The sequence below is a fragment of the Homo sapiens genome, chromosome 7, assembly GCF_000001405.40.
Source record: "Homo sapiens chromosome 7, GRCh38.p14 Primary Assembly".
In the NCBI taxonomy this organism is placed as follows: domain Eukaryota; kingdom Metazoa; phylum Chordata; class Mammalia; order Primates; family Hominidae; genus Homo; species Homo sapiens.
The window spans coordinates 5,967,567-5,988,141 of NC_000007.14; the positions used below are offsets into that span (position 1 = coordinate 5,967,567).

Below are 20,575 nucleotides of genomic sequence, written 5' to 3' on the forward strand. Positions count from 1 at the left end.
CTGCACTCCAGTCTGGGTATCAGAGCAAGACTCTGTCTCAAAAATGACTATAATTACAAGTTTCAAGTACCATCAGTTTATAAAAATACAACCTCAACATCGCATTGCTTGTTCCTAAAATTTTTTTATTTTTAATTTTTGAGACAGAGTCTCACTCTGTCACCCAGGCTGGAGGGCAGTGGCACAATCACAGCTCACTCTAGCCTCAACCTCCTAGGCTCTGACGATCCTTCCATCTCAGCCTCCCAAGTAGCTGGGACCACAGGCATGCATTACCACACCTGGCTAATTTTTTGTAGAGACAGGGTCTTGCTATCTTGCCCCGGCTGGTCTGGAACTCCTGAGCTCAAGCAATCCGCCTGTCTCAGCCTCCCAAAGTGCTGGGATTATAGGTGTGAGCCACTGTACCTTGCCCCAAAAATTATTTAAGTTGGAACCATTGTCTAGCATTGTTTCTTGAAAGGTAACCCTACACATGAAATAGGCTACTTCACCTCTCAGGTCTTGCATGCAGCCAATTCACACTTTAAAAGCCCCTCTCTGGCCGGATGCAGTGGCTCACACCTGTAGTCCCAGCACTTTGGGAGGCCAAGGCAGGTGGATCACGAGGTCAGGAGATTGAGACCACCCTGGCTAACACTGTGAAACCCCGTCTCTACTAAAAATACAAAAAATTAGCCAGGCATGGTGGCACATGCCTGTAATCCCAGCTACTCAGGAGGCTGAGGCAGGAGAATCACTTGAACCCAGGAGGTGGAGGTTGCAGTGAGCCGAGATCACACCACTGCACTCTAGCCTCGGCAACAGAGCAAGATTCTGTCTCAAAAAAAACAAAACAAAACAAAAGCCCCTCTCCTTATAGGTCAGCATTGTAAAGTGTGCAAGAGCTGGATTCGGAGTCCTGCATTGCCCATTACCAGTTCTATGGGTTTGTTTATTTATTTATTTATTTATTTTTGAGACGGAGTCTCACTCTCTTGCCCAGGCTGGAGTGCGGTGGTGCGATCTTGGCTCACTGCAAGCTCCACCTCCCGGGTTCATGCCATTCTCCTGCCTCAGCCTCCTGAGTAGCTAGGACTACAGGCGCCCACCACCACACCTGGCTAATTCTTTTTGTATTTTTAGTAGAGACGGGGTTTCACCGGGTTAGCCAGGATGGTCTCAATCTCCTGACCTCGTGATCTGCCCGCCTTGGCCTCCAAAGTGCTGGGATTACAGGCGTGAGTCACCGGGTGTGGGTGCCCGGCCCAGTTCTGTGTTTTTTGGGTTTGTTTTTTTTTTTTTTTTTAGACAGACTCTCTAGCCCTGTCCTGCAGGTTGGAATGCAGTGGCAGGATCTTGGCTCACTGGCTCACTGCAACCTCACTGCAGGTTCAAGTGATTCTCCTGCCTCAGCCTCTCGAGTAGCTGGGATTACAGGCACCTGCCTCCATACTCAGCTAATTTTTGTATTTTTAGTAGAGATGGGGTTTCACTGTGTTGGCCAGGCTGGTGTCGAACTCCTGACCTCGTGATCTGCCCGCCTTGGCCTCCCAAAGTGCTGGGATAACAAGTGTGAGCCACCGTGCCTGGCTGGTTTCCTTTTTTTTTTTTTTTTTTTTTTTTTTTTTTGAGACGGGGTGTTGTACATTTTGCCCAGGCTGGTTTCAAACTCCTGGCCTCAAGCAATCTTCCCACCTTCTCCTCCCAAAGTGCTAGGATTGCGGGCATGAGCCACTGAGCTCGGCCAAGTGCTGTGTTCTGAAGCAAGCTGCTTAATCTCCTCTGCCTCACAAATAGAAATAACAGAACCTTGTCTCATAAGAATTAAACCGATGACACACAGAAAAATCCCTAAGTACAGGATACAGAGCAAAGTCAATAAATTGAGTGATTATCTCGTCCCTTTCCTGTTTTCAAACTTGAAATCATTGGTTTCCCACTCCCTCTAGCACTGCCATCGATTGAGTGCCTCTCATATGCCGGACAAGCAAGGACCGGTGTGCTGGAGTTGCGTTTCCAGCGCATGGTTGCTTGAGCTGTATTTCCAGCGCATCGTTGCTCGAGCTCCGTTTCCAGCGCATATCTTTGCTTGTCTGGCATATGAGCTGCGGTGCAGGGTTTCAAAGCCATAGTTTTCATGGCTTTCCTAATCTGGCCCCGCTGAAAGCACCCTGGTCCATCAGGCAGGATGCATAGGTGAGCCCTGTGGTGAAGGCCAGGTCTGGTCCCTTTTCGTAGGCCCCGACGGGTGCAGTGGGCACTTCTTGCCCTCTTCTTCCTGGATGCCATCCTCTGGACACCCCACCCTCCAGCTGAACCCATCTCCAGCCTTCTCTCTTCCTCCATTATTTATTTATTGAGACAGGGTCTCGCTCTGTCACCCAGGCTGGAGTGCAGTGGCACAGTCTTGGCTCACTGCAACCTTCCGGGTTCAAGTGATTCTTCTGCCCTAGCCTCCCAAGTAGTTGGGATTACAGGTGCCTGCAACCACTCCCGGCTAATTTTTGTATTTTTAGTAGAGCCAGGGTTTCACCATGTTGCCCAGGCTGGTCTCAAACTCCTAACCTCAGGTGATCCGCCCGCCTCGGCCTCCCAAAAGTGCTGGGGTTACAGGCGTGAGCCACCGCGCCCGGCCAAGCCTTCTCGCTTCCTTCCAACACCCTTGCTCCTTCCCGCCCCCGACTACTGTCTCAGCGAAGCCGCCCCTGGGTCCCCTAGCCCAAGGTGCTCTCACCTCTAAATTTAGAGGGGCCTTTACTACGAGCTTTTCGGTCTTCTGTCAGTGATCTACAAATAAGTGAACTACAAATCAAGCCAATTTCGTTTCTCAGTGCGTTTCCTAATGTTTCCTCTGTTCTCCTGGGCTTAAGGAGAGGCCATCTCTCTCCTGTGTCTACGGTGAGCCGGGAAGAATCGGCTCCCTGCACTGGTCTGCCCGGCCTAGGCCCTCCTCGCCCATCACGCACGTGCTCGGGTCCTGGGAGGCCGCGTCAGTCCGGCCGGGAAGGAGCAGGACCCAGTCGCCATGGCTGTCCCGGCGTACGCAGGACCGCGGCCTGGGGCGCTCACCTCGCTCCAGGAGCCCAGAGACCTCGCCGGGCTCGGGCTGAGGTGTTGCCGGGCTCTCGGCGTCCCAGACCCGGCTCCGGTCTCCAGGCAACCGCGGACGCCGCCAGGCCCACCCTGTGCTCTTAAAGGGGCCGCGCGCCAGCGCCAAGCAGGTGTCCCGCCCTTGCTGGTCCTGAAGGCCGGGGGAAAGGCTGGACGCTGGAGGCAGCAGGCCAGGGTTTTCCCAGCTCTGCTAACTGCTTCATCATAAAATAGGAATAACGCAGGCATTAGTTTTCCATTGCTGCCGCAAACAAATTACCATAAATTTAGTGGTTCGAAGCAACACAAATTTATTACCCTACAGTATGTAAATTAGTCCCACAGTGCTGGTTCCTTCCAGAGGCTGAGGGAGAGAATGCGTTTTCTTGCCTTTTCCAGCTTTTCCAGAAGCGGTCCCCAACCTTTTTGGCACCAGAGACCGGTTTCGCGGAACACAATTTTTCCATGGATTGGGGTCGGGGAGGGATGGTTTCAGGACGATTCAAGTGCATTGCATTTATTGTGCACTTTATTTCTACTATTATTACATTGTAACATATAATTAAATAATTCTACAACTCACCATCACAGAGACTCAGTGGGAGCCCTGAGCTTGTTTTCCTGCAACTAGACAGCCCCATCTGGGGGTGACGGGAGACAGTGACAGATCATCAGGCATCAGATTCTCATAAGGAGCGTGCAACCTACATCCCTCGTGTGTGCAGTTCACAATAGGGCTCGTGCTGCTATGAGAATCTAATGCCCACCGCTGATGTGACAGGAGGCGGAGCTCGGGTGGTAACGCCAGCGACGGGGAGTGGCTATAAATACAGATGAAGCTTCGCTGGCTTGCCGGCCCCTAACCTGCTGTGCACCCCACTTCCTAATAGGCCATGGACCACTACTGGTCTGTGTCCGGAGTGTTGGAATCCCTGTTCTAGAGACTGCTTGCAATCCTTGACTAGTGGTACCTCCTTCCATCTCCAAAACCAGCAAGACAGCCTCTCTCTGGCCAGCAGGGAAAGGTCTCCACCTTTGAAGGACTCACCCAATGGACTGGGCCCACCCAGACAATCCAGGATAATCTCTCTGTTGCAAGATCCTTAACTCAGCCAGGCATGATGGCTCACACCTGTAATCCCAGCACTTTGGGAGGCCGAGGCGGTCGGATCACCTGAGGTCAGGAGTTCGAGACCAGCCTGGTCAACATGGTGAAACCCTGTCTCTACTAAAAATACAAAAATTAGCCAGTATGGTTCTGGACACCTGTAATCCCAGCTACTCGGGAGGCTGAGGTGGGAGAATCACTTGAACCTGGGAGGCAGAGGCTGCAGTGAGCTGAGATCATGCTATTGAACTCCAGCCTGGGCAACAAGAGCGAAACTTCATCTCAAAGAAAAAAAAAAAAAAGATCCTTCACTCAATCACACCTGCCGAGTCCCTTCTGCCACGTGAGGCAGCGTGGTCACAGGTTCTGGGGATTAGGACACAGCTGTCTTGGGGGCTGTTATCCTGCCACAGCTCCCAATCTGGAGAGTTCATAAGTGGGATCCTGCAGACCACGCCAGCACAGTGCCAGACACGATGGCACAGTGACTACTGTACTGCCTCCTCCATCTGAGGGATTCTAAAGCAGGAAGGGGAGCCGCCCACAGTCTGGAGAAGGGGTGGGGGCAGCAGGGGGAGCCACATCTGTCATCTCTGGGCCCCCAAGAGGGCATCTTTACTTCCATTTTCAGCCAAGTTCAAACAGGACAAGGTTCCATGAAAACTATTTGAAAAGACAGACAGGGATTCTTATATTCCCAGAACCATTCAAGGCCAGTAACTGGAATGTTCTACAGTTCACATCCTGAGGAAACCAAATCACAGCATCAAATTATGGGAAATCAAACTCTTTTTGTTCCCCTGCGAGGACAGCATTTTGCGACCTTGGCCGCACAGAGGAATGTTTCAAATAGTGACCCCTGTCCCATCCAGTCATTTTCTTCCAGCCGGGCAGAGAATCCCCCGTGTTTAAAAATTTAATGTGAATCAGGGCTGAGAATCACTAACTGAAAAGGACCCTACTTTTAAATTTATGAAATTAAACAAAGATGAATTTAATTATCATTAAGGGTTGAAAGTTATAGACTAAACTATGTCCAGCCAGAGCAGAGGCCTGAGTAACTTCCAAAGTGGTTTGGTTTTTTTTTTTTTGTTTTGTTTTGTTTTGTTTTTTGAGACACAGTCTTGTTCTATCTCACCCAGGCTGGAGCGCAGTGGCGCAATCTCGGTTCACTGCAACCTCCGTCTCCCGGGTTCAAGCGATTCTCCTGCCTCAGCCTCCTGGGTAGCGGGGATTACAGGCATGCGCCAGCACACCTGGCTAATTTTGTATTTTTAGTAGAGGCAGGGTTTCTCCATGTTGGTCAGGCTGGTCTCGAACTTCTGATCTCAGGTGATCCGCCGGCCTCGGCCTCCCAAAGTGCTGCGATCACAGGCATGAGCCACCATGCCCAGCCCAAGTGTTCTTATTTTTATAAAATGTGTTCTTGCCTGGACACACACACACGAGCGCATGCAAACATAGAGAAAAAAAATTTGCAAGCAATGCTCCATCTGGTTTGAAAAGGTTCTCAAGATCACTTTTAAATGGGTGTGATGTGTATTTTTTTTAAGTAGCAGGTTCATTTTAAAACAAAAAAGGTTAGTGAAGACTCTGTCTTTCAAAACATAAAAATCTGCGATAAAACCAATTATTCCATACAGTGACTACGGTCAGTTCTGAGAAATGACACCCAGGTTGGCGATGTGTCTCATGGTTGGCCTTCCATGGGGACAGTTCCAGGGGTGGTCCATCTCCCCCATGTGGGTGATCAGTTTCTTCATCTCGCTTGTGTTAAGAGCAGTCCCAATCATCACCTGAGTGTGAGACACAATGGTTCAACGTTTTAGTAGTTTTTTGACGTCAGAATGGCAGCTCTTCAGAAGCATTCTTCTCTAAAATAAGGCTGGACAAGATTACAGCTCAAAAACTACCTTCCCTGAAAAACCTTCCCCCAGAGAAGCCTAGGTTCTAGATCTCAGCCCTCCACCCTTCTGTGAAATCAGGCTCCTTGTGGCTCCTTCAAGGTGGCACCGCCTCCACTCCAGACGCCGACCACACCTGTCTCAGCAGCCACCCTGCCCTCTCACCCTGGCAGGTGCAGCAGCCTCCCAGCAGGCCTCCCTGCCCCACTGCGACCCCTCCGAGCCGCTCTCCACTCAGCAGCCAGTGATTACTTTTAAAGGGCTGTCAGGTTATTCATTCCACTTCACAGCTCTCCCCCTCACCTGAATAAAAGCCCCCGTCTGTCCCCTGACTTGGCCCTCGCTGGGCTGTGCCTGCACCCCCACCTCCAAGCACGAATGCCTCCCTTCCTCACCCCAGCTGCACTGCTACTCCCTTCCTCTTGCACAGGCCCATCACGCAAACACCTGCCTTGGGACTGTGGCACTCCCGGGACCCTCTCCCCCAATGGGTGCAGGCGTCACTCCCCCTCTGTCGAGCTCCGACCTGCTGCCCATAGCACTCCAGCCCTGGCCCTGCTGCCTCCCTGCCATGGGTCCTCTGACAGGAAGGAGAGGACACAAGCCTGAAGCCCAATGTCACCTTCTTTCTTCCTGCAGCACCCTGAGGGCTCGCCATGTGCCAAGCACAGTCAGAAGGCTGGGGTGACAGCAGGTTGGAGAAGGACAGACAATCAACAAGTCAACAGAGAACCAAGACAGGTGGCACCAGGCGAGGCGGCCTGCTCAGGTGTGGGGATGGGGTGAAGGGTGACGGTGGCAAACCCAGGTAGAGAGGAGAGTAGGGAGAAAGGGTGTAAGGCAGGGAGGAGACTGAGGCGAGCGTGGAACTGGAAGGCAGCTACATGGCTGGAAGCTACATGGTGGGGAGATGGGGCTGGAAGGGTGGGCAGGGCTCAAAGCAGGAGCCTCCTGGGCAGGCAGTGACAACACCGGAGATGGACGGGTAGGCCAGGGCGAGAGGGAAGGAGCAGCCTGTGGTTCCCCGGGCCACTGAGTCACACTAAACTCAGGACATCAAAACTGCCCGGCTATGAGCTCAGCTCCACGCTCTCACTCACAGACTCCAAGACTGGAAGATCCATATTATGTCTTTTATTTTGGTGAGGTCAGGGGTGGTGGAGAGACTCTGTCTCCCAGGCTGGAATGCAATGGTGCGATCTCAGCTCACTGCAACTCCGCCTCCCAGATTCAAGCAATTCTCCCGCTTCAGCCTCCCGAGTAGCTGGGATTACAGGCGCCCACCACCATGCCCAGCTAATTTTCGTACTTTTAGTAGGGATGGGGTTTCACCATGTTGGCCAAGCTGGTCTCAAATTCCTGACCTCAGGTGATCAACCCACCTCCGCCTTCCAAAGTGCTGGGATTACAGGTGTGAGCCACCACGCCCAGCCCCTATTAGGTCTTTATCCAAGAAACACTGTGGCTAGAAGTCAGACTCTGGGCCCTCTTCTAATTAAACTCTGCCCTTGAGTCATTTCATCTAATCTCATGGCTGTAAATTACACCTGAAGCTCACACAGCAGGCTCCATCCCACCCACTCCCCACGTGGCCCCCAGCTGCTGCTCTCCTCAGCGGCCGCAGCCACCGCACCCCTTCCAGTCTGTTCTCTCTCCAGCAGCTGCAATCACGGGACTCCTTCCCGTCTGTTCTCTCCAGTGGCTCGTGCCACACACAGCACAGACCCCCAGGGTCTAGGTATGACCGGCAACACTCTACGTGGCTGTCCTCTGGACGCCGCTCTGCTCACTCCCTTCCCCTCTCCAGGGACACAATCAGCCTCTGGCTTCAGTCTTGCTACTTCCTTCGCTTGGAAAGTTCTTACCCAAGAGGGCTCCATTCTACCTTTTTTTTTTTTTTTTTTGAGACAAGGTCTTACTCTGTCACCCAGGCTGGAGTGCAGTTGCGTGATGTTGGCTCATTGTAACCTCGACCTCCCTGGCTCAAGTGATCCTCCCACCTCAGCCTCCTGAGTAGCTGTGACTACAGGCACATGCCACCACACCTGGCTAATCTTTTAATTTTTTGTACACATGGGGTCTGCCTGTGTTGCCCAGGCTGGTCTCTTAACTCCTGGCCTCAAGCAATCCTCCTGCCTTGGCCTCCCAAAATGCTGGGATTACACGTGTGAGCCACCATGCCTGGCTTCCATCCCACCTTTTAGATGGCAGCTGAGATGCCACCTGCCCAGATGCCATTCCCTGACCACCATCTCACCTGGTCACCATGTTTTTCTCTTGTCATTTCCTGCCCCAAAACGCTGTTTTAGGCCAGGTGCGGTGGCTCACGCCTGTAATCCCAGCACTTTGGGAGACCAAGGCGGGCAGATCATGAGGTCAGGAGATCAACACCAGCCTGACCAACATGGTGAAACCCCATCTCTATTAAAAATATAAAAATTAGCCAGGTGTGGTGGGTGCCTGTAGTCCCAGCTACTTGGGAGGCTGAGGCAGGAGAATCGCTTGAACCTGGGAGGCGGAGGTTGCAGTGAGCTGAGATCACATCACTGCACTCCAGCCTAGTAACAGAGCGAGACTCCGTCTCAAAAACAGACAAAGAAAAATGCTGTTTGAATCTCTTGACTGTGCTTACTGGCATCTAATGCGTGTCATTTATTTGTGGTGATGCCTATTTCTCCCCACTGTCTGCTCCACAGGGGCAGGGGCTGCAGCCGCCTTGTTACCTCTGTGTCCCGAGCACCTGGAGCAGGGCGGGCCCCACATCAGGGGCTCAAGGAGCACCTGCTGAATAAATAAAGGAATGGCGTCCTGGCCCTTCCCAGTGGCCAGCTGATACACAGTCACTTTTCTTGGACATCAGGCTAATCCCCACTGCAGGCAGAACCACTGCTGCCACCTTCCCACACCAACCGAAGCAGCGGCAGTGACGCCACGTGCAATGACAACCACGGCACCCCGTGAAGCACCTGCTGCCTCGATGACTCTGCAGAATCGTGTCCAATGTCGCCGAGTCCTGGCAGCAGCAAATCTTTATCTCCCAATGTTGTTATGACCCATAAGGTCCATAGACGAACAAGGTACCTCAAACGCTAACTGCGTTGGAGTCAACCAAAGCTCGGAGATAGAATACTGGCCGGGCCAGGCACAGTGGCTCATGCCTGTAATTCCAGCACTTTGGGAGGCTGAGACAAGGGGCAAAAGGAGACCATGTTTCTACAAAAAATTTAAAAATTAGCTGGGCATGGTGGTGCATGCCTGTGGTCACAACTACTTGGGAGACAGAGAGAGGAGGATCGCTTCAGCCTGGTACGTCAAGGCTGCAGTGAGCTGTGATTGTGCCACTGCACTCCAGCCTGGGGGACAGAGGGAGAATCTGTCTAAAAAAAAAAAAAAGAAGAATTCTGGGTTTTTTTTGTTTTTTTGAGACGGAGTCTCGCTCTGTCGCCCAGGTTGGAGTGCAGTGGTATGAACTTGGCTCACTGCAAGTTCCGCCTTCTGGGTTCACGCCATTCTCCTGCCTCAGCCTCCCGAGTAGCTGGGACTATAGGCGCCCGACACCACGCCCGGCTAATTTTTTTGTATTTTTAGTAGAGACGGGCTTTCACCATGTTAGCCAGGATGGTCTCGATCTCCTGAACTCGTGATCCGCCCGCCTCAGCTTCCCAAAGTGCTGGGATTAGAGGCTTGAGCCACCATGCCCGGCCAAGAATACTGCTTAACAGAGGTAACAAAAGAGCAATAATTATGAGTTCAAGGTCACAGAGAACGCAGACGACACAGATGCTCAGCTACGACGCTGCACGTAGCTCTCTGTGTAAAATGACCCCTGGCAATCACAAAGGCGTTTACAACCTTGACCAAATCAGGAGCTGGGCTGAGACCTTCCTCGACTGCAAGCTTGAGCAGCTGAGCTGACAGCCAGGCTTTCTTTACTTACCGACTTCCGGCAGGCTCTGGAGGCAAACATCTGCTTGACTCGGGAAGGCCGGCACATGACCCCAGGGCTGTCGCTCAGCATGAAGATCAGTTCATCGACGTCCTGGGGTCCGAAGGTCCAGTTTTTACTAGTTGGCAAGGAAATCAGTTTAGCCCTTTCAGTGACTGGAGCTAAAAGAATACAATTTTGAGAAAAATCCATGACTTGACAAACACGTTTCACTTGAAAGCTACTTAGGATGAACATCTGAGGCCGGGCGTGGTGGCTCACGCCTGTAATCCCTGCACTTTGGGAGGCTGAGGCCAGCGGATCATGAGGTCAGGAGATACAGACCATCCTGGCTAACATGGTGAAACCCCGTCTCTACTAAAAAATAGAAAAAATTAGCTGGGTGTGGTGGCAGGCACCTGTAGTCCCAGCTACTCGGGAGGCTGAGGCAGGAGAATGGTGTGAACCTGGGAGGCGGAGCTTGCAGTGAGCCGAGATCGGCACCACTGCGCTCCAGCCTGGGCGACAGAGCAAGACTCCATCTCAGAAAAAAAAAAAGTGAACACCTGAAAGAGAGGAAACTCACAAAATGCTTTTTGGAGGAACTTTTTAATCTTTTATAAAATTAAAAAAAACTGGTCTATATGACCTGAAAGATTATTCCCAGCTCTAAAAAGACAAGAATCTATAGTTCTGATTTTTTTTTTTTTTTGAGACAGAGTTTCACTCTTGTTGCCCAGGCTGGAGTGCAGTGACGTGATCTCGGCTCACTGCAACCTCCACCTCCCGGGTTCAAGCGATTCTCCCACCTCAGCCTCCTGAGTAGCTGGGATTACAGGCACCCGCCACCACGCCCGGCTACTTTTTGTATTTTCAGTAGAGATGGGGTTTCACCATGTTAGCCAGGCTGGTCTCAAACTCCTGACCTCAGGCGATCTGCCCGCCTTGGCCTCCCAGAGTGCTGGGATTACAGACGTGAGCCACCACACCCAGCCGCTATAGTTCTAATTAATAACTTACCATTTTCATCGATAACAAAATCAAAGCCATTCTTTCTAAATATTTCCAGATTTTCTATCAGAACAGCTTCATTAACAGCAGTTAAGTTGAGAGTCTGAGGTCTGAAAAACACAAAAATGATTCAAACCATATCCTGAAGTCAAACATTTAGCTTTACAGCAGAAATGAAATGAAAACAACAATACTGTATTTTGAATTCATGTCAAAATAACAACACAAATAACAACACTACTCAGCTAAGTGTCACAAAACTTCCTGAGAAGTTCCTTTTAATTTTCTCTTTCTTAAAGTTCTTTTTAGAAGTTAAAGTAGCTACAGGCCAGGTGCGGTGGCTCACGCCTGTAATCTCAGCACTTTAGGAGCCCGAGGCAGGCAGATCTCTTGAGGCCAGGAGTTTGAGACCGGCCTGGTCAACACAGCGAAACACTCTCTCTACTAAAAATATAAAAATTAGGCCAGGCATGGTGGCGCACGCCTGTAGTCCCAGCTACTTGGGAGGCTTAGGCATGAGATTCGTTTGAACCCAGGAGGGAGGCAGAGGTTGTAGTGAGAGCCAAGATCACGCCACTGTACTCCAGCCTGGGCGACACAACAAGACTCTGTCTCAAAAAAAAAAAAAAAAAAAAAACACCCATAAAAACAAAAATTAGCTGGAAGTGGTGGCTCATGCCTGTAATCCCAGCTACTCGGGAGGCTGAGGCACTAGAATTGCTTGAACCCAGGAGGTGGAGGTTGCAGTGAGCCAAGATCACACCACTGCACTCCAGCCTGGGCAACAGGGCAAGACTCTGTCTCAAAAAAAAAAAAAAAGTTCAAGTAGCTACAAAAGTAGTTTGCTTTTTCCTCAGCCTGCCACGCCAATGACTCCCACTTTTTCTGAATCCTTTCCTTAAGGATAACAGTATCACAAAAATGCTATTTTTCCTCCTTCTAATACAGAATTTGAAACACTGGGTTAGGTCATTGCCAGCATTTGTAAACAGAATGAACAGACAGCTTTTATTTTGCTATCCTGTTCCTTCCTCTGCCTGTATTATATCTCCATCCCTCTCTCCTCCTGGATTTACTGTTTGTTTTTTTTTAACCTTTCGTTATTTTTTTCAAAGATAGAGACAGGGTCTCACTATGTTGCCCAGGCTGCTCTCAAACTCCTGGGCTCAAGCGATCCTTCCACTTCAGCCTCCCAAAGTGCTGGGATTACGAGTGTGAGCCACTGCATCTGGTCCTGAGTGCTGGATAAGACAAACACTGCTCAAGGCAGGAGACAGCTGGTGAGCAAACACAGGCTTGGTCCTGGAGCCAACAGATTACCGGGGAAGAAAGACGTTGAGCAAATACTCAGGCAAGTCGATTATGATGAGAAACGACAGGAAGGTCAGGAAGAAAAAGCAGCCAGTGTCATAGAGAGACTTCACCCTGGGGTCAGGAAGTGACCTTTGAGCTGAGTCCGGGGATAAGAGAGTTAATCAGGTAACGGGGGAGAAGTGGGTGCAGGGTGCAGGACAAGTATTCTAGACAGGGACAACAATCTGTGCCAAGCCCCAGGATGGACCGCTGATGTTTGCAGAGCCACACATAAAGATATCCTTCATTCTGCTTAGTGGCCACATAGGGATTCATCAGGCCTGCCAAGGGAAAAAGAAAGACAGCCAGAGAGGCTTGAGTACAGGGAACAAGGGGAAGACGAACGGGAAAAGCTACAGAGGTCAACAGGGCCACCCTACACAGGGGCTGGCAGGGCAGGGTGGAACTGGGTCTTTATCCTTTAATCTTGAAGTGTGGTCCATCTGGGACCCTAAGTGGTCTGTGATTACCTGGGCCAACTTGAAATGTCACAGATGAGAGGTTATCTTTGCCGAATGGCTAAAAAATACAAGACCTCAGCCGGGCATGGTGGCTCACACCTGTAATCCCAGCACTTTGGGAGGCTGAGGTTGGTGGATCACCTGAGGTCAGGAGTTCAAGACCAGCCTGACAAACATGGCAAAACTCCCTATCTATTAAAAATCCAAAAATTAGCCAGGTGTGGTGGCGGGTGCCTGTAATCCCAGCTACTCGGGAGGCTGAGGCAGGAGAATCACTTGAACCCGAGAGGCAGAGGTTGCAGTAAGCCGAGATCACATCACTGCACTCCAGTATGGGCGAAAGAGTGAAACTCTGTCTCAAAAACACAAAAACAAAAAACCTCTATTAAGAGGAACAGGGAAGGGATATAAAGTAGCTTACTAAATGTCTATTATTACCATTGCCTCCTACTGAGAATAAAAACAATTCACGCATTCCACAGGAGAGTACTCAGCAAACTACACAGGAGAGTACTCAGCAAACTACACAGGAGAGTACTCAGTAAACTACACAGGAGAGTACTCAGCAAACTACACAGGTTCAGTGGTACATTTCTCCATGTGGGATCTACTTGTTGGGATCTGAGTTTACTTCACTACGTGGTTTAATTTCCCACACGAAAATCCATGACCTCTTCTTCTAACTTTGCTGAAGACAAGACTTTGGTTTTACATGATACTATCACACCTGACCTTTGTGAAGTAGTCAGGGTAAAACATTCCAGTTTGGCCGAGGAGAGAGAAATACCAAATTCTGCAGTGACTATCTTAAAATAATTTTTAAATTTTATTTTATTTTATTTATTAATTTATTTGTGAGACAGAGTCTCACTGTCTCACTCTGTCACCCAGGCTGGAGAGCTGTGCAGTGGCACGATCATGGCAGCCTCAATCTCCTGGGCTCAAACGATCCTCCCACCTCAGCCTCCCGAATAGCTGGGACCACAGGCACACACCATCAAGTCTGACTAATTTTTTACATTTGTTGTAGAGACAAGGTTTCACCATGATGCCCAGGCTGGTCTCAAACTCCTAAGCTCGAGGGATCTGCCTGCCTCAGCCTCCCAAAGCTCTGGGATTACAGGCGTGTGCCCCTGCATCCAACCTGCAGTGACTATCTGACTTCTGATTACTCTACTGTCAATCAACACTGGCGCACAGGCTGTCTGTCTTTCTGAACACACACATTCCATACACTATGCATACTAATACTCCATACTATCAATTGCCCTCATCAGAAGGATCTTCTGGCTAACCAGTGATCAACATTTTTAATAGCGAAAAATACCTGATACTTAGAGAACATGTTAACCACGTGAACTGGGGCAGGTTACTCAACCTCTCTGCATGTGCCTCAGTTTTATCGCTTGTGGAATGGTGATGGTAACAGTAACAACCCCATAGGTTTTTGAGGATTAAAGGAACTAATACACATACATTATTTCAACAGTGCCTGGCAGATTCTAGGCACTGAATAAATGGTAACTATCACTATTATGTAAAAAGTATAAAAATCTGCTATATGAATACTTATGGAAAAATACATATATACATATAGACACACATATAAACTATTAGGTCTCTTTTTTTTTTTGAGATAGAATCTCGCTCTGTCACCCAGGCTGGAGTGCAGTGGTGCGATCTCGGCTCACTGCAACCTCTGTCTCCCAGGTTCAAGCGATTCTCCTACCTCAGTCTCCTGAGTAGCTGGAATTACAGGCGTGCACTGCCATGCCCAGCTAATTTTTTGTATTTTTATTTTTTATCATTATTATTATTTTTTGAGACGGAGTTTCACTCTTGTTGCCCAGGCTGGAGTGCGATGGCACGAACTCGGCTCGCTGCAAACTCCGCCTCCCGGGTTCAAGCGATTCTCCTGCCTCAGCCTCCCAAGTAGCTGGGACTACAGGCGCCCGCCACCACGCCTGGCTAATTTTGTATTTTTAGTAGAGACAGGTCTCACCATGTTGGTCAGGCTGGTCTCGAACTCCCGACCTGAAGTGATCTGCCCACCTCGGCCTCCCAAAGTGCCGGGATTATAGGCGTGAGCCACCGTGCCTGGCCTTTTTGTATTTTTAGTAGAGGCGGGGTTTCACCACGTTGGCCAGGCTGGTCTCCAACTCCTGACCTCAGGTGATCTGCCTGCCTCGGCCTCCCAAAGTGCTGGGATTACAGGTGTGAGGCACCGCGCCTGGCCAACTAGATATTTTTTATTTTTTACACCCCTCCTTCCTAGATCTCTTCTTTTTTAAAGTAGATACAAGGTCTTGCTGTGTTGTCCGGGCTGGTCTCAAACTCCTGGCCTCTTGTGATCCTCCTGCCTTGGCCTCTATTAGATCTTCAATTTGAGGGGGAGTCTGGGAATGAACACTAAACACACTCACGCTATGAGCCTCTGCCCCTGGAGCACGGTGTGCTGCTGCAGCATCTCGAAGTTATACTTCTCGTCCGTGGCATGCTGGTCCACTATGAAGATATCCTCATTCAGTTTGGTTATTATAAATCCCAGGTTAAACTGACCAATGATTTCCATTTCTGCAAACATCGTTTTACTGCAGGTAGAAAATGTTAATTATCAGACATTTTACAAGATTATTTTTCTGATTATGTTATAGAACACTGTAATAAAAAAAAAGTCAAACAATACAAAAACAAAATAAAGTCCCTAGCCATCCCGCTTTCTTTTTTTTTGAAACAGAGTCTCGTTCTGTCACCCAGGCTACAGTGCAATGGCACAATCTTGGCTCACTGCAACCTCCACCTCCCGGGTTCGAGTGATTCTTCTGCCTCAGCCTCCTGAGTAGCTGGGATTACAGGTGCGCCACCATGCCCAGCTAATTTTTGTATTTTTAGTAGAGACAGAGTTCCACCATGTTGGTCAGGCTGGTCTCGAACTCCTGACCTCATGATCTGCCCGCCTTGGCCTCCCAAAGTGCTGGGATTACAGGCGTGAGCCACTGCGTTCGGCTTAACCATCCCACTTTCTAAAGATAACATTAATTATTCATTCATCCAACTCTCCGGAGAAGACATCAGTTGCTACTATTAACGATTTAAATGGAATATATCCTTCTAGACCCTTGTCTCCATATATAATTTTTTTTAATTTTAAAAAACAAAAATGGAATCTTAATTCTCCATTCTGTCATCACTTAATGCATCTGAAACAAGTTTTCAGACCTGTACACATAGATCTACTTCATTATTTTTTCTTTTTTTTTTTCTTTTAAGACGGAGTCTCACTCTCTGTTGCCCAGGCTGGACTGCAGTGGCGTGACCGTGGCTCACTGCAACCTGCGCCTCCCAGGTTCGAGCGATTCTCCTGCCTCAGCCTCCCGAGTAGCTGGGACTACAGGCATGCACCGCCAAGCCCGGCTAATTTTTTTATTTTTAGTAGAGACAAGGTTTCACCATGTTGGCTAGGCTGGTCTTGAACTCCCGACCTCAAGTGATCCACCTGCCTCGGCCTCCCAAAGTGCTGGGATTACAGGCGTGAGCCACCGCACCTGGCCTACTTCATTCTTTTTAATGGCCACATAGGAATTCATTGCATGGATGTACCATAATTTGTCTGACAAATCCCCTACTAAAGGACATTTCAGTTGTTTCCAATTTCAATAGCGCACTCAAAGCTGCAACAAATACTTCTGTGCATAAACCTACTCATCTGTGGGTGCATTTCCGTGAGACAGACGCTAGAGGGAGAACTACATATGTACTTCTTGACGGGAAATCTGTGAAAAGTCACACTCCCACCAATGGTGTGTAAGAGCACCTTTCTGCCAATGCTGGATATCAATCCTTCTCATCTTTGCCAGGCCCACCACTGGGTCCTTTGCGGGTGGCTTCAACATCTAATGTCATTAAATACTAACTTAGTCAATCTGGACAAAAGACAGACACCACCGCTAACCTTCACACGAGAAATTGACACTGTCATTCTCAGTCCCACACAATTAAATCCGGTGAAAATGGATTTTCCGCAGTATCAGCGCGGTGATGACAAGAAATGGCTCTGTTAAAGCAGCCATGGACGTTTTCTGGTTCTCACCTGGTGGCCTGAGCTGAGGATGAAAGCAGCTGTAATGTAATCCCAGCACTTTGGGAAGACAAGGTGGGCAGATCATTTGAGGTTGGGAGTTCAAGACCAGCCTGGCCAACATGGTGAAACCCCATCTCTACTAAAAATAAAAAAATTAGCCAGGCATGGTGGTGGACACCTGTACTCCCAGCTACTTGGGAAACGAAGGCAGAAGAATCGTTTGAACCCGGGAGGCAGAGCTTGCAGTGAGCTGAGATCGTGCCAGTGCACTCCAGCCTGGGCGAAAGAGTGAGACTCTTGTCTCAAAAAAAAAACAAAGGAGCTGATATTGTTGTTTCTTTCTATAAGTGCTCCAGGAAGACCCGGTCCCATGCCACCATGCTCGTCACCATCACAATCAACCACAGGGGACAGTTTGGTGAACTGTGAGACCTCCACATGGCATGGATTACTGAGCCCACATTTCCTATGGTGAGGGGCTCCACACAGAGCTCAAATCCAAGTCATAACCAAACCAGTCCCCAAATCCTATCTTTGAGGGTCTGTTTCCTGGTACCAATTCCAGATCAGGCAGAGTGCAATCAATCAAGAGACAAAAACCACACCAGTGATTTTAACAGGGACTTTTTTTTTTAAGACAGGGTCTTGCTCTGTCACCCAGGCTGGAGTGCAATGGCATGATCATAGCTCACTGCAGCCTCAAACTCCTGGGCTCAAGTGAGCCTCCTGCCTCAGCCCCCTGAGTACCTGGGACTACAGGCGTACAGCAATGTACTTAGCTAATTTTTTTTTTTTTTTTTTTTTTTTAGAGATGGGGCCTCATTATATTGCCCAGGCTGGTCTCAAACTCCTAGCCTCAAGTGATTCTCCTGCCTCAGCCTCCCAAAGTGCTGGAATTACAAGGTGTGCACCACCATGTTAGGCCTGAGGAGGAAAAATGTATAATAAGGCATTACACAAACTAGTAAAAGGTGGTTAACTACTATGCTAAGAAATACAGGAATGGAAAATGCTACTATCCTAGGGAAGAGGGAGAGTCCTCAGAAAAGGAACTCTTTTTTTCTTTTTTCTTTTTCTTTTTTTTTTTTTTGAGATGGAGTTCGCTCTTGTTGCCCAGGCTGGAGTGCAATGGTGCAATCTCGGCTCACCACAACCTCCACCTCCCGGGTTCAAGCAATTCTCCTGCCTCAGCCTCCCAAGTAGCTGGGATTACAGGCATGCACCACCATATCCCACTAATTTTGCATTTTTAGTAGAGAAAAGGTTTCTCCATGTTGGTCAGCCTGGTCTCGAACTCCCAACCTCAGGTGATCCACCCACCTCAGCCTCCCAAAGTGCTGGGATTACAGGCATGAGCCACCATGCCCAGCAGAAAAGGAACTCTTGTAAGAGGCTCCTACCCACTCAGGCTGAGTTTCAGACCTCCTTGGAGCAGGAGTGGCCGCAGCCTGCTGGATGGAGAGAAGCTGCCAGAGTGAGTGATGACACAGGAACTCCTGCCGCACAGGAGGGAAGGAAAAGAACATCCCAGAAGCATCCCAGATGCCAGCACAAATACCACCTCCCCTGGCGCCGATCCCAGGCTCTCCCAGGAATTGTCTGAATATGCCCTGGTTCCCAGTACATAGATAATCTGCTCAAAAGCTGGTGCTGGCCTAAAAGACCCAAGTCTTCCATGTGTTTGGAGTCTGTGTCCTGCCACAGAGAACAGGATCTGGCCAGGCGCAGATGCCGGAATTACAACTGCGCACTACCGCGCCCAGCCAATTTTATTGTAGAGACGAGGTCTCCCTATGTTGTCCAGGCTGGTCTTGAACTCCTGGGCTCAAGTGATCCTCCCTCCTTGGCTTGGCCTCCCAAAGTACTGGGATTACAGGTGTGAGCCACCACACCTAGCCTCAAAATACTCTTAAGAAAAAACTTTACCTGGCCGGGTGTGGTGGCTCACACCTGTAATCCCAGCACTTTGGGAGGCCAAGGTGGCTGGATCACCTGAAGTCAGGAGTTCGAGACCAGCCCAGCCAACATGGTGAAACCCTGTTTCCACCAAAAATATAAAAATTAGCCAGGCATGGTGGCGTGCACCTGTAATCCCAGCTACTCAGGAGGCTGAGGCAGGAGAAACGCTTGAACCCGGGAGGTGGAGGCTGCAGTGAGCCAAGATCATGCCACTGCATTCCAGCCTGCGCAACAGAGCAAGACTCTGTCTCAAAAAAATAAAAAATAAAAATAAAAATTTTAGATAAAAAGAGAAAAAGTAAAAAATTAAAACTTTACCTTATCTCTTTTCTTAGTTCATCTTCGGCTGCTTGATTTTCTCCAGGACAAATCTTTGCCCTAAACTTCCTGTAATTCTGTTCCCCTTCACTTTGCTGTGCTTCATGATGTAACTGCTTTATTCGTTTAGCTAAAGAACTCATAGAAAAGTCCAGGGGCACAACTTTCTTATTAATTTTCACAGCTACATCAACCTGAGAGGCTGACATGTCCTGAGTATTTACTAACTTTTGACAAATGTCAGAACTGGAAAGAATTTCTTCTTTTTTAAAACGCTTTGTGTTTGGGGTTGCGAGATTAGTTGGCTGAGGCAAAACTCGAAATTTACATCCGGTATCTTCCTGGTTTGAATGGCAGTCCACATCTGAAAAAGAGTCGTCAGTTTTAGGCGCTTTCTCCTGAGAGTCCACATGTTCCTGCGAGCCCCTGTCCCCTGGGGAGCTGGCCGCATACTCGCTGCTGCAGTGACTGCCCGTGTCTGGGATGCTGAACCCCTCAGAATCCACGGAAGTGCTGCCGTGCCCCGAGTCCTTCTCCACCTCCGCTCTGTCCGTAGGGTCACTGGGTCCGTGACTGGAACTCACTGCCTCTTTCTGAGGTCTCAGGACGCCTTTGTCAGAGATGGCACCTGAAGTGCTAGAAGACAGCATACCCCTTTTCTGTCCTAGAGGGCTCCTTCTTGGTTCTGGAGTCTTTGGGCTGTGAGGCTTGTTCTCTGTTGTGTGACGAAGAGAAAAGGCCTCTCGCAGTCTGGAAATGGACACGTCTTTTTTTTCTTCTCCAGTCCTTAATGAAGGGGATTGATCCTGCTTTTCTACCATGGGCTTTTCCAAATCCGCTGCATGCATTTTTATTAAGTTACCTAAGCAAACGTGGACGGAGAAGAGGGTCAGGGACTATCCTGAAATGGTGAGAGGACGTGCTTATGTGAACAGATACTTCACAAAAGAGGAGATCCACATGCTAATTACACAGATGAACACAGTTCAATGTTCAAAATAAAACTATAATATGGGCCAGGTGTGGTGGCTTACGCCTGTTATCCCAGCACTTTAGGAGGCCAAGGCAGGGGGATCACATGAGGCTAGGAGTTCAGGACTGGTCTGGACAACATGGTAAAACCCTGTTTCTACTAAAAATACAAAAATTAGCCGGGTGTGGTGGCATATCTGTCATCCCAGCTACTTGGGAGGCTGAGGCACGAGAATCCCTTTAGCCCGGGAGGCAGAGGTTGCAGTGAGCCAAGATGCCACCACTGCTCTCCAGCCTGGGTGACAGAGCAACACTCTGTCTCAAAAAAAAAAAAAAAAAAAAAAAAAACCACAACACAATGCAATATGGCCATATACTCACCAGAATGGTAAAATTAAAAAAACAACAAAT

General features: G+C 49.2%; 2 protein-coding genes across 75 annotated transcripts in view; both read right to left on the reverse strand.

The window, feature by feature from the left end:
* The window catches only part of RSPH10B (radial spoke head 10 homolog B), a 44,716-nt gene extending 41,431 nt beyond the window's left edge, over positions 1–3,285 (reverse strand). For 2 of the 10 annotated variants that reach the window (XM_011515207.1, XM_011515203.1), the window contains exons 1-2: positions 2,949–3,043; positions 2,717–2,769 (exon numbers count right to left, since the gene is read on the reverse strand). The gene's annotated coding sequence lies outside the window, so the exon portion shown is untranslated. Of the gene's footprint in view, positions 1–2,716 lie in introns of all 10 variants that reach the window. The other 8 variants (XM_011515208.4, XM_011515204.3, XM_024446691.2 and 5 more) reach the window with 8 other exon arrangements.
* A 73-nt stretch (positions 3,286–3,358) lies between these two features.
* PMS2 (PMS1 homolog 2, mismatch repair system component) overlaps positions 3,359–20,575 on the reverse strand; it is a 38,182-nt gene continuing 20,965 nt past the window's right edge. For 51 of the 65 annotated variants that reach the window (NM_001322008.2, NM_001406881.1, NM_001406895.1 and 48 more), the window contains 5 exons: positions 19,193–20,054; positions 15,258–15,425; positions 11,030–11,130; positions 10,022–10,191; positions 3,359–5,976 (listed from right to left, as the gene is read on the reverse strand). In NM_001322008.2, coding sequence (NP_001308937.1) covers positions 5,833–5,976; positions 10,022–10,191; positions 11,030–11,130; positions 15,258–15,425; positions 19,193–20,054 — 1,445 coding nt within the window. In that variant the 3' untranslated portion in view covers positions 3,359–5,832. Of the gene's footprint in view, positions 5,977–10,021; positions 10,225–11,029; positions 11,131–15,257; positions 15,426–19,192; positions 20,055–20,575 lie in introns of all 65 variants that reach the window. The other 14 variants (NM_001406887.1, NM_001406876.1, NM_001406888.1 and 11 more) reach the window with 6 other exon arrangements.